The 13,773-nt window shown below is 39.6% G+C and overlaps 1 long non-coding RNA gene across 2 annotated transcripts in view; it reads left to right on the top strand.

Annotated features, from left to right (window-relative positions):
- LOC105373760 (uncharacterized) overlaps nt 1-13,773 on the top strand; it is a 101,257-nt gene that overhangs the window by 34,702 nt on the left and 52,782 nt on the right. Inside the window, exon 1 of one of the 2 annotated variants that reach the window (XR_001739796.1) lies at nt 13,187-13,395. The exons of the other annotated variant lie outside the window; for it this stretch is intronic. This is a non-coding gene — a long non-coding RNA (uncharacterized LOC105373760). Of the gene's footprint in view, nt 1-13,186; nt 13,396-13,773 lie in introns of those variants that run through there. 2 annotated transcript variants of the gene reach the window in all.

The following is a 13,773-nucleotide window of genomic DNA, read 5'->3' as shown; positions in this document are numbered from 1 at the left end:
AAGGAGAGGGGGAGTGAAGGACTGGAGTAGAAACCACAGGTACAGACATGGAGAAGGTAAGGCCGTTACAGCCTGAGGAGAACAGCGGAGGTTTTAAACGCCTGGCAGGTCTCAGTGGAACTGCTTCCTCAACTCACAGATTAGCTTCTTTTTACCGACTCAGCTTCCTTTCCTGATAAGCCCAGTTGCCATGTAGACTTTGTCAGAATTTAATGCTCTCTTTAAACCAGTGGGTCTCAATATCATTAGAATCATGTGGGAAGCTTTGTTAAAAAGAAAAAAAAAGATGCCTGGGTTCCACTCACCTAGGTCAACAGAATCAGAATCTCTAGGGAGGTGGAGGTGGCATAGGGTTGGTGGAGTTGGGCCCAGGCATATGTGATTTCTTTAGAAGTTCACCATGTGATTCTGATGCCCAGTGAAGGTCGAGAACCATTGCCTTCAGCACTCTTACTTTGAGTAAACAGGATCATTCCCCGCTTTTGAGATTTAAAATTTTAGAATGCTGCAGCTAGATAATACTTTGTGGCGGTGTTTCTCAAACTTTCATGTGCATGTGAATCACCTGGGGATCCTGTTAAAAAGCAGATTCTGGTTTAGGTGACTGGAAGTGGGGCCTAAGCTGTGGCATTTCTCACTCATGTCCCTGTGACATGGGAGCTGCTGGAGTGAGGACCACCTTGATTGCAGTGGAGCTTTAGATCGAATACAGATGGAATGCTGCCTCTGTGCCAGACCCTGTGCTTAGTGCTGTACATTCAGTGCATTCTCACAGCCTCTGAAAGAGGTACTGTTTATAATTCCATTTTACAGGTACGTAAACTAAGGCCTAGATAAGTTAAGTATCTTGTTCAGGATAATAATGCTGGTAAGTAATAAGAGGCAGAATCTGGATCTAGATGGTCTGATTCCAGAAACTGTGAGCTGAACCACAATGTAATACCACTTCAAAGGCAGGATGGGGCTCAGGGGAGGACCTGCAGTTGGAAGAGGTGTTCAAGGACTTGTACTGAAGCTGTGTTTGTATAACAACAAGGTTTTGTTTTCATTTGAGATAGCCCCTGGAAGAGGCGAATAAAAACAGGTATTACAGAGGAGCTAAAGCACTCTAAGCCACTCCTTGGCCTGTCCCTGTAGGCCATGCCTTCATGTTGCTGGGCAGGAACAGGAGTTCATTGCAAGGTGTATATCGCAATTCAGTGGCAATATATTTCAGGTGTCACTGTATATCTCATAGATAGCCAGGTGGCTTCTGACCTTGTGATGACTTTGTTGTCAGAACTGAGGCCCCTTGGATTGTCATGACCTGGCCCTTGCCTGCTTTTCCCCCTCCTCTTCCACAGCTGCCTCCCTGACTTACCCAATGGCAAGCTCTAGACACATTAACTGCTTTCAGTTCCCTGACGGTATCACAATTTTATACTTCATGAATGTTGTCTTCTCTATTGGATGTCTTTGTTATCCTTTTCTTGCCAGGTTAAATGCTACCTTGTTCAACATCCCGGACAATGTAGTTCTTTCAAAAAGAATTTTCTAACCCTCCCAGCCAGGATTAAGTAATTCCCCTCCTCCTTTGGTCTGTCATAGTCCCCTGTTTCTTTTAATTAGAGCACTTAAGTAATTTACTTTTCTATTTAGTCAGACGGTGAACCTCTCTAGGGCTGTGCTTCATTTATCTTTGCATCCCAGGGCTTAGTATAGTATTCAGTAGGTGGTGAGAAGGCTGACAAGCATGTGTATTGAATGAATGAGTGACCCTTTTATTCCCAGTCCAGTGTTCTTTCCAACTGATGATTTGACTAAACTAGTAGTTTTCAATCCTGACTGTAGGGTTTTTAAAATAATCTGGATCATACCCAAGTCAGCTAAATCACAATCTCTTGGGGGTGAGGCCTAGGCATCTGTGTTTTTAGCAAAGTTCCCCAAGTGATTCTAAGATGTAGCCAGGTTGAGAACCAAGGGATTAACCTTTCAGAGTTACTCTTGCTGTGGTTGGAGCATAATAGTTGAAAGTAACATAGAGGAAAATTGTTGTCTGTCTTCAAAACTGAAAAGGAGAAATAGAAGGAAATATATGGGTAAACTGATCACTTACCTAGGCCTTTTGAAAGTAAATATATAAAACAACAGCATTTTAAGGCTGGGATAAGGAAATGTCATAAAACCCAATAATCAATTACGAAGTATGACACTTCTAAAAAGTTGGGAATCATTTTTCTAAAATTATATTAGTATATCATCCCAATCTGTGCTTTTTTGGCTATTTTTATCCATATATCATTTGCCTTGAGTGCTAGTGAATGATCTTTAAAGGCTTTCAACAAATGACTCACCATTCTCTTACTTTATAATATAGTATGCTAATTGGCAGTCATCTTAGGAGTGTTAAAATATGGCAACAATAACATGAAGTTAATTGTAAAGAAAGGGAGTTGGCTCTTTGTGGCTCTAGATCATTCCAGGTATGAGCAGACTTGTAAATACATCTGTTTATTCATTCTCCATGCAAACATTTGGTACTTATCTTCTCTCGGACAAAGTGCTACATATTGGAGGAAAAAGGGTAATATAAGACACCCTCCCAGAAGTTCTCTGTCTTAAATATGAATAATTAACAGTGCACCATGATATGCACAATGGAGGTCCACTCCAATGAGCACAGGAGGGAAGACGTGTCAGGGAAGGTTCACATGAAGCTCACCTACACGCACATAATATACAGCAGTGGTGTCAGGGCACGGATGACATTTCAGATGGTACTGAAAGGACAGCTCCAGGCACACAGCCCAGGTTGGTGGGATCTTGGCTCATTGCAGCCTTGACCTCCCTAGGCTCAGGTGATCCTCCCACCTCAGCCTCCTGAGGAGCTGGGGCTACAGGTGCCGCACCACGCCTAGCTAATTTGTGATTTTTGGTAGAGAAAGAGTTTCAACATGTTGCCCCGGCTGGTCTCAAACTCCTGGGCTCAAGCAATCTGCCTGCCTCAGCCTCCCAAAGTGCTGGGATTATAGGCATGAGCCATCACGCTCAGCCTGATGTGTTTGTGTTTGATTAAATCCATGGCACAAGATTTAATGTGGCATTACAAATGCTGTAATCTCAGCATTTTGGGAGGCTAGGATGGGAGGCTCAGCATTTTGAGAGGCTGAGATGGGAGGCTCAGCACTTGAGTCCAGGAGTTTGAGATCAGCCTGGACAACATAGCAAAACTCTGTTTCCACCTTAAACAAAAAACAACCATAGCACATCCTAATAGAGTTTTATTGGAGACTCACTCTCAAAAAGAGCCCTAAAAGAATTAAATAATGGTATTTAACTGACAGACACATGAAAAAATCTGGTTTCATATCTCAAAGTAACACTAACAGTTTCTTATGCCAGCAGAGGAAGATCATGTTTTAGAGAGATGGAGGTTTGACCATCTTCAGATAGTGACCTGCCCTTGCAGTACTTCAGAGCTCATCAAAGAGAGGAAGAGAAAAATGGAGTCACAGACTGCCAATTACTGCTTTTGCCTGGAAACAATGCATTTCACTTCCTTTTCTCATTTCATTGGCCAGAAATAATTACATAGCTATGTATAAAATAAGGGGGATGGGGGAATTATAATCTTTGTGTGTCCTGAAGTGGAGAACACTTGAATACGGGGGAATGTTACTAATGTCTACCATAGTCAGTCTCTTCAGCTTCACCCATGTGTGTTGGAAATAGAAGGGTGTGCTCTTCAGACATGAAGAAGAAAAAAATGACTTCATTACTATTGGTTATTATTCTTTTTATATTCTAATATATGTAGGATTGTTGCCAATAAGATTTTTATTTAAGATTGGTAGCAAGACCGGTCTTCATCAATATTAAAACAATTATTTTAAAGCTTTGAAATTAAGTTAAAGGCTATTACTTAAAGCAGCATGAATACGAATTCCAAGTAACAATCAGTATGATGATTGCCTTACTAAAATAACTTCAATTGAATCAATGTGCCCATGTGGAACACCTAGGGATTACAGGAGCAACTTCCATATAGAAGTTACCTCAGTGAGCTGGTTTCAAGCATGAGCCAGCAATGCAAATGCAGGCATATCACTTAAAAAAAAAAAAGAGATGAGGTCTGTCTCTCTCGCCTAGGCTGTAGCACAGTGGCAAAATCACGGCTCACTGCAGCCTAGAACTTGTGGGCTTAAGGGTTCCTCCTGCCTCAGCCTCCCAAGTAGCTGGGACCACAGGTGTGTGCCACCACACCTGGCTAATTAATTTTTTTTTTTTTTTTTTTTTTACAAACAGGGTCTCACCATCTTGCTCAGGCTGGTCTTGAACTCTTGGCCTCAGGTGATCCTCCCACCTTGGCCTCCCAAAGTGCTGGGATTACAGGCATGAGCCACTGTGCCAATGTGCCTGGCCCATTCGAAATACAAGATATATGCATTGTTTTGGTTTTTTAAAATTGCTTTCAAAATCTCTCACACACTACCACTTCTTTCCCCACTGTAGTCAGGAAGGAGGCAAGATTTGGGGAAGAGAAAGGATGGAATCCACTCAGGCTAGTTTTGGTGGAAGTAAAACAGTTTTCTAAGGAAAAAAGGGAACTACACTGTTTCTTTCTTTCCTCCTCCTTGGCTAACGTGTCAAGTGGTTAGGGGACCGTTATTCCCCTCCTTAGCTGGCCCTCTGGAGACTAGCGCTGTCCAATAGACCTTCCTATCCCTGCAATAATGAATATGGTAGCCACTAGGCACAGACGGCTATTGAGTACTGGAAGTGTGGCTACTGCAACTGAGGAACTAAACTCTAATTTTATTGAATTTACTAACTTTAAGTAGCCATGTGAATTCAGGTGATAGGAGAGAGGGAGGTTGTTCTTATTCCTGTTTTCGGTGTAGATTTTTCTGTACATCACAATGATTTTATCTTCCACACAAGATGTTGAAGATGAGCTGAGTCAGTGGGGGATCGGGTGGGAGTGAAGCGTGGACCGAGGCAGAGCCTGCTGCAATGCCTCCCTTCCTAGCCAGTGCAGACCAGGCTCCCTTCATGATCACTGGCGGACAGGACCAAGTGATGCCCAAAGACGGCACAGACACTAAAATGGGGACGATTACATGAATCTCAGACCTGATTTTGTTTTAAAGCCTATGACTTAGGATATGAGAAAAGAAGAAAGAGGCAAATAAACCTAGTGTGGTAACCTTTTAACATAGCATTAGCATCCATTTTTTCATAATATATTTGGATATAAAATCTTTATTGTGCTCAAAATTCTTATTAAAAATGCAGTGAACTGTAGTTTGTACATTTGCAGCCTCTCATTCCTCAAATTGTTCTTTTGTAAGAAATAATTTCTTTGATGGTCATTGTTTAATGAAAGACATGGGCAGTTATAAAAGAAAACTAATGTCATCAAACATTCATCTGGTGACTCCTATGTGCTGGTGCTATGCTAACAATGAATGGCACTTTGCAACACTAATTTTTAGCAAAATAACGACTTCTTAGCTGTAAAGTCCCCATGGGTGTGTGTCCTAGAGGCATATATTCTTTTCTATCTTTGTCTACGGTTCATTTTGGAAAACACCTACTTTTATTACACGATTGTAAAAATTAGTGCTCATATTAAACAATTTAATGAACCGAAGTGCCTCAGTCCTTTCGAAGCCTGACTGGCCTCCTCTAGATCTTTGGGCAGAGGTCAATGTAGAGTGATTTGCTGAAATGCTTGGATTTTATTCTTGAGATTTAACATGAAGGCAAGTGAGTGAAGTGAGGTAGGAAAGCACGTATGATTTCAAGATAATCTGATTTTTTAAAAGATAGAACATTTCACTTTCTGAATTAAAATTATCATCTTAAATAACCTTATCTCAAAGGAAGTCCTATTCCAAACATAATATCTAACAACATCAAATTTTTTTCTACCAGTACATACGTATAAACAGGAAAACTATTTTTTAGCGGAAAGTTAATTGTTGATACCACCATATTTGTACTCAAATGCAAGACCATTTCTAGTTCCACCCTCCCCACCGTACATTCCAGAGCCCACCTTTATTTTACCCTGACATTGTACCAGCATAAAATTCCAATATGCTAATTACTTCTCCAGATCATGCCATAGTTCTGATGCCATAAGACAAATATTAAAGGTTTACTTTTTATGTTCAGAATAATTGGGTAATTGTCGTCATCCTGTGACAGGTTTCCCTTTTTCCTGAGGTCTTTTGACTAATGGTTCTATTGTTATTGTTGGAGTGGCTCATGCCCCATTGTGTCATGACGCAAAACTTGATCTGTGGTAGAAATGCCTTACACATTTATTCCCTCCAGGAAACCAAAGGGCAAGAAAGTAACATTCCAGATTGAGAACCTGGCTTTTTGCACCATGACCTAACCTGTTCCAGGTGAAAAATATTAGGCCAAAAATAGTTTCATGAGAAAATTTTTACGTGAGTTCCTGCAGTGGTTCTCAGTACTAGCTGCTTGTTAATTAGTTAGTTAATTGATGGGCAGCTTAAAGCAATCACTATGTGGGCCCCACCTGAAACTTGTTAAAAAAGACTGATTTCTGGGGGCCCCATTATATGCTGTTGAAATTTAGACTCTCCACAGGAGGGTCCTGGGTATCTGTACTTTAAACAAAACTCTCAGATTATCAAATAAATTTGGTCAACTTGATTTAAGGTATTGATCTTGGGAAAGAGCACTTCATACTTTTTTTGAAATAAACTTAGTGGCCTTCAAGACATATTTCTAATGCCAGTATCTTACTTGTCTTCTTTTACTTATTTGCATATGAATACTATTAAAGAAGGAATATTTAACCATAGAGAAGGTTTGTTTACATTTTTGTCTTCAGCCAAATCAAGCCTTTCATAATTTTATGTATTAAAAATAAAATTTAGATCAGACTCCCATCTCTACAAAAAATGCAAAAATTATTGTAGCCAGGTGCGGTGGTATGTGCCTGTAGTCCCAGCTGCTTGGGTGGCTGAGGAAGGAAGATCGCTTGAGTCCAGGAGTTTGAGGCTGCAGTGAGCTATGATTGCATCACTGCATTGCAGGCTGGGCAACAGAGTGAGAACCTGTCTAAAATAAATTGCATTTTCAAGTTGTACTTTCAGCAGCACCAGATAGTATGCTGGAGCTCAGAGGCCAGGAGAGGAGCACTTTCCCTCTACTTATTATAAGAGGTAACTTAATACTGATGGAGGAGTGTCTTGGGTTCTTACACTTGGAGACCAATTTGTCATTCCATTCAACACAAAATAACAAGGGATTCACTAGTTCATACATTATTTCTATTCAACAAATGTCGTTTGACTGTCTACTGTATGCCATACTGTGTTAGGTATCAGGGATACAAAATAAAGTAAATTGGGATTTTTTTCTTGTTAGAACTGGTAGGTTAGAGCAGATATTCTTAAGGTGTGATCTCTATCCAGCAGCATTGGCATCCCTGGAAACTTGTTAGAATTGCATATTCTCTTGCCTTACCCCAGACCCACTAAATCTGATTCTCCATAAAGCTTGAGAACCACTGGCCTCTAGGAGGAGCGATCAGTTCAGCAGAAAATTAGAGTACCTTGTGGTAGATACAGTGGAGATGGGGAGGAGGCTAGGACTTTAGGAATGTTTCTGGGAGGAAGAGATGCTTGAGCTCTCTAAAATATTTGGTGCAGAGTGGGGGGAGGTGTTCCTAGAGAGGTCAGCAGGAGCCACACAAAAAGCCATGTTGCATTTTACTCTGAATGCAACATGGAATCTTTTGGACCCTATAGTCAGTTCATTTACAATTATCATCAATGTGATCTTTTGACCAGACTTTTAGCTAAGTGGTGCTGGTCTTGAGCTCTGTGTTTCAGGTGCTTCCTCAGATATGGGAAGTTAGAGAAATGCAGGTGTAAAAAATTCCTCTCGCATTAAAATCTAACACAGTAGTGTTAAATAAAGATTTGGTGAATAAACACAAATAAATGAAAGAGTGGATAAAGCTAGGATTTGGGGAAGGTAAGGAAAATGTGTAATGAAAACATAGCAGCATAAGCACTGGTTTTTGAGTGAATTGAAAATCCCATGGCATTCAAAAAATTACACAGACCTTCAGTGGTTTAATCAAAGAAAATAAGTATCTCTCCCATTTTTCAGCAGCCGGAGTTCAAAGGCTCAGAGTCACTACGTAGGACGGAGTGGGAAGAGAAGCAAGGAGAACTCTGTCAGTTCTCCTGGATTGCCTTCCTCCTGTCTTCCTGAACATTTGCGCAGTACGGTTAGTGGGCACTAACTGTGTTCCAGGGACTCTACACATATTATTTATAATACATTCAACACCAATAGAAAGTAGATGTTTTCCTCCCAAGTTTTAAAAGGATCTAAAATTCACAGGGCTCTGGAGTCTGAGGAAGAAAATGGTTTATCTAGAAATTTCTGGGAAAAACATGGCTATTCACTCATGGTCAACTTGAATTGAGGAAATTGGAATACCAAGAGGTTAAGTGACTCGCTCAAAGTCAACATGCTCATAACTAAGGATATCTGGGATTCAACACCAGGTCTGTGTAACAGCAATTTGTTCCAGTGATCTGTGTGACCAGGGGAACCCTGAGTGTCCTACCCCAAGAGATGGCCTGTTAAATGTCCCGGCTCTTCAGGATACCTTATACATTCCTCAATTGACCCCACAAAGCATTTTCCCTTTCCTGGAAAATTCAATTGCCAGAAACACTTACCCCACTATGATCACACATCACTATCTAAACTCATGCAAAAGACACATATTGCCTGTTTTCAAGTACAATGAATATTGAATTTAAGCTTTTACCATATGGTAGCTAACCCAATGATTTATAGAACTTATTTTCACTTTCTGTGTCTAAACAATAAATGATTGTTTTATATTTATAGCAACATAGGAGCAATCTTCACAGATCTCAGTAACAAGTTTTTAATTTTATTGGCCTGGCATTATGTGGCTCTTGAAATGGCCATAAGGTCTAGGCACAAAATGGACTGACTTCTCATGACTAAGGATTTTATAAGTAGAATTTAATTGTTGCCTTTAACTCAATGAATAAATGTTGAAAAAAAAGTATGCATATGTATATAGACCAAAACTTTATTTTATAGCAAATTCTTGTACCTAGCATGAATTATGTACCACATATAGGTTTTTTATCAAAACTGACAGAGAAGGGTAATAAATCACATTTACCTTAAAAACCCAACTCACCCATTTAATTTTGTGTTCTTTCTTCTTATACTTAACAATAAAGTGGTTAATAAACAATAAAAGAGATGGACTTTGGTTTTAAAAAATGAAGCTTTCTATAATTTAAAGAAGTTTTATAGAAGACATGTTTCCTAACTTCCTAGATTTCCCCTCTGGTTTATTAAAAAACATGACATAAAAAACATGATAAAAGCCGAACAATTATTAGTCACTTTCTATCATTTCAGTTGAATTATAAAATTTTTTTTCTCCAGACGCTTGTAAATAATGTCTGTTTTTCTATATTTGTCTACTATAGACGTTGTGGAGAAAATATAATAAAGGGAAAATGAGAATGGGGGGAAAGCAGAAAAAATAACACCACTCTCAAATATGGGAGCAGCTGCTTCTCAGATGTATGGTGGAGTTTCCTTGGAATCAAGCAGAATTTGAGAAAGTCTGCCTCTGTCTCTTGTTACATGGCTCTTGTCATGAAGGATAAACAAAAAATGAACTCAGTGCAGCTCAAGAGAAGAGTTTCCTTTTCTTTTCTTTTCTTATCCTACTTACCTTTTCTGAGTTAAAGCCAGCAGATAGTAACTCAGATTAAAACCCACTCTCTAGATATAAACAACAGTGCTGATTAAATGGATCACTTTGCCAAGGGAGATGCAGCCAGAGTGCCCATTTTTCATTCAAATGTTCCAGGCTTGTAGAAGTAGCTTCCAGCTCTAAATATATTGAATCACCATTAACCTACTGGAGAAAATAGGAATACGAACACACGCTTTCTTATTAGATGAGCATGGCAGGTTTTCTGATAATGCAAACAATTAAATGGAAGAATTTATATCTCTCAGAGTCTTGACAAAATTCCTTCTGTCAGTGAATCACAATTCCTCTCCCTTAGAGCAGCCTAACTGGAATCTTGAGGTGGGAATCCTTTGGAGTTTAGGGATGTGTGCTGATTTGTTTGTTTTGGATATTGGTTAGAGTGCTCAATAAGGAGTAAATGTTACAAGTAGGTCCCTGTCACTCAAAGAATGATCAGAACCACCAGTATCCAGTATTATGTGGCATTTGTTATAGCTGCAGAATCTTGAGTTCCTACTGAACTAGAATCTGAATTTTTAAAGATCCCCAGGTGATTTGTATGCACATTAAAGTTTGAAAAGCACTGTTCTAGCAGTGGTTCTTATACTTTACCATGCATCAGAATCTCTTGAAGGGCTTGTTAAAATGTAGACTGCTGATCCCTATCCATAGAGATTCTGATTCAATAGGTTTGGGGTGGGATTTGTGTTTCTCATATGTTCCCAGGTGATATTGATGCTGCTGGTCTAGAGACTACACTGAGAGCCATTGCTCTAGGGCAATGCTGCCTGATGGAATTATAAGAGCCACATATGCAATTAACAGTTTTCTTTATTTTTCCTTTTTTTTTTTGAGACGGAGTTTTACTCTTGTTTCCCGGGCTGGAGTGTAATGGTGCACTCTAGGCTCGCTGCAACCTCCGCCTCCCGGGTTCAAGCGATTCTTCTGTCTCAGCCTCTGAGTAGCTGGGATTACAGGCATGCGCCACCACGCCTGGCTGATTTTTTGTATTTTTAGTAGAGACAGGGTTTCTCCATGTTGGTCAGGCTGGTCTCGAACTCCTGACCTCAGGTGATCCACCCACCTTGACCTCCCAAAGCAGTTAACAGTTTTCTAGGTTGGCTGCCATGGCTCACGCCTTTACAGCACTTTGGGAGGCTGAGGTGGGCAGATTGCCAGAGCTCAGGAGTTCCAGACTAGCCTGGGCAACATGGTGAAACCCTGTCTCTACCCAAAATACAAAAAATTAGCTGAGCTTGGTGGCACGCGCCTGTGGTCCCAGCTACTTGGGAGGCTGAGATGGGAGGATGGCTTGAGCCCTGGGTGTGGAGGTTGCAGTGAGCCGAGATCGCACCACTGCACTCCAGCCTGGGCAACAGAATGAGACCTTGTCTCAAAAAAAAATTTTTTTTTTCTAATATCTTTTCTTTAACTCTGAATACATAAAATGTTATTTCCACATCTAATCAGTATAAAAATTATTAGTGAAATATATTCTCTTTTTTGGTAATGAGTCTTTTTTTTTTTTTTCTGATTGAGACAGGGTCTCATTCTGTGGCTCAGGCTGGAGTGCAGTGGCGTGATCCGAGCTCATTGCACCTTTGATGCCCTGGGCTCAAATGATCCTCCCGCCTTGACCTCCCCAGTAGCTGGGACTGCAGGCATACTCCACCGCGCATGGCTAATTTTCAGAATCTTTTGTAGGGATGGGGTCTCACTGTGTTGCCCAGACTGGTCTCAAACTCTTGGGCTCAAGCAATCCTCCTGCCTTAGCTTCCTGAAGTGCTGGGATTATAGGCCTGAGCCACCATGCCCTTTGTAGTAAATCTTTAAAATCTAGTGTGTATCTTGCACTTAGAGCAAATCTCCATTTGGACTAGTCATATTTGGAGTGCTCAATAACTACATGTGGCTGGCTGGCTAAGGCTAGTTATCAGAAAGTTTCTAAATGTTACTTCAGAGACATTGTTACTGTTTGTGAAACTGACCTGGGAGAAGTAGAAAAAATAAAGCTAAATTTACTTAATTTAATTGATTTTTTTTTTATTCTGAGATTGCCTCTTGTCTTCCTTTTTGCTCCTGAAATGTCCTCTCTTTAATGCAGTGGTTTTCAAAGTGTGGTTCCAAAGAGCAGTGGCAGCAGCGTCACGTGGGAATTTGTTGGAAATGCACATACTTGGGCTCTGAGACTCACAGAATCAGAAGCTCTGCAGGTGGGCCCCAGCCATCTGTGCCTTAACAAGCCCTCCAGGTGATTCTGACACATGCTAGTTTGAGAACCACTGCTTGAAGGAAATGATGGTAATAAAATAAGTTGTAGAGTTTAATTATTATTTTATAACTGTAATTGGCAAAATAAGAAATTGGCAAAGTTATGCCAGTTCCTTAATTAAAACATTTATTTTTCTATTGGTTATGAAATCTGAAAGCCAGAAAACCAATGTGTTGGAGGTTAGTTAAATAATACTTTGTACTGCTGTGGAGAAAATACAGTTTAAAAAATAGGGAAAGATTGGAAAAATGGTGTGTATATAAGCATTCAAATGAATCCCAGGAAGTCAATGCTTGGTTCTCATTAGTGGCACCTTTATGTACTTACTACTGGAAAATGAATACACTTACTAAACAACACTGACTAAGAAAACTCAGGTTTCTCATGCAAAATACTGAAAATTAATCAGAAGAAAAAATCCCATAAATATTGATGATCTCATTCTCTAGTTCTCTGTTAATTAGTCAATATTTGGCTTTTATTGCTACAAAAGTCGTTCTACAGAAATTTTAATAACTGGTCTTTAAAAAATAAAGAAACAAAACCTTTTGGCAATTGTATATTTCCTCTTGGAAACATTACTAAGTATTTAAGGCCAAGACTCAGCATATTAAATTTGGTTCCTTCAGACAACTAAGGGGTGGGAGAATATTGAAATGAAGTAGAGTGGGTGAAATATGAAATAATATAAGGAATTAACTGTGAATGATTGGAACCAAAAGAAAATCTAATAACCCAAAGGAACATACATGTGTGCTCAGGGTGTCGGCTCAGGGGAGCCGTGGGGCTCCGAATCTTAGACCTTGGTTCAGTTTCTGTTTCTAGATGGGATGTTAGCCATTCTCTTCTAAGGCTTGATTTTTCTAAATATACATAAATTTAAATGGCAGAGTATGTCTAGACTGTTGTTAGTCTGTTGATTAATGAACCAGTATTCTTAACATTTTTTAGATTCCTGAGGAAAATGGGTTTAAGAACTCCAAAGCATTATTATTTCCCGTTTACAAGAAGTTCCTGTTAGGCCTAATTCAGAGGAAATTCAGGGATATAAAGAGAAAAGATGTGATAAAAATGACCAGTTCTATTGTTCTGTGTGAATAAGGTACCTACCTCTACTTCATGCTAAAATTAGAAATCTTTCTTGTAGTTTGGAGACCTAATAGACCCCGAGGCTTGGTGGGTGGTTCTCTCCTGCTAACTTCTAAAGTTGAAGCTAAGGGGATCATTATTTATCTGGAGACTATAAGGCTGTGCTGTCCAGTATGGTAGTCACCAGCCTCATGTGGCTGTTGAGAACTTGAAATGTGGCTAGTCCGGATCGAGATGTGCTGTAAGTGTAAAATACACACTGAATTTTGAAAATTGAGGAGGGAAAAGAATGTAAAATATTTCATTAATAATTAGAAAAAATATTGATCAGATGTTGAAATGTGGCTACTAGAAAGAATAAATTACATAGTTGGCTTATGATATATTTCTATTGGACAGCACTGCTCTACAGTGTTATTTCTTGGATAGCATGAATGCAATTAAGAATAAAAGGGCTATGATATAATTTTCGAGTATACTTTGAGTGACTCTGAGAACCTACATTGCCTAATTAAAACCTATTGCTAAATAAACAAGGATTGTGCATACAAGTACTTATTTGAATTTTGTAATAGGGAACACCTCAAGTTCTGTGACTCTCTTTTTCAAGCCCCAGAAG

The sequence above is a fragment of the Homo sapiens genome, chromosome 2 (genome assembly GCF_000001405.40).
Source record: "Homo sapiens chromosome 2, GRCh38.p14 Primary Assembly".
NCBI lineage: Eukaryota > Metazoa > Chordata > Mammalia > Primates > Hominidae > Homo > Homo sapiens.
Note: the sequence above shows the minus strand (reverse complement) of the source record. Positions and strands in the feature narration are given on the sequence as shown.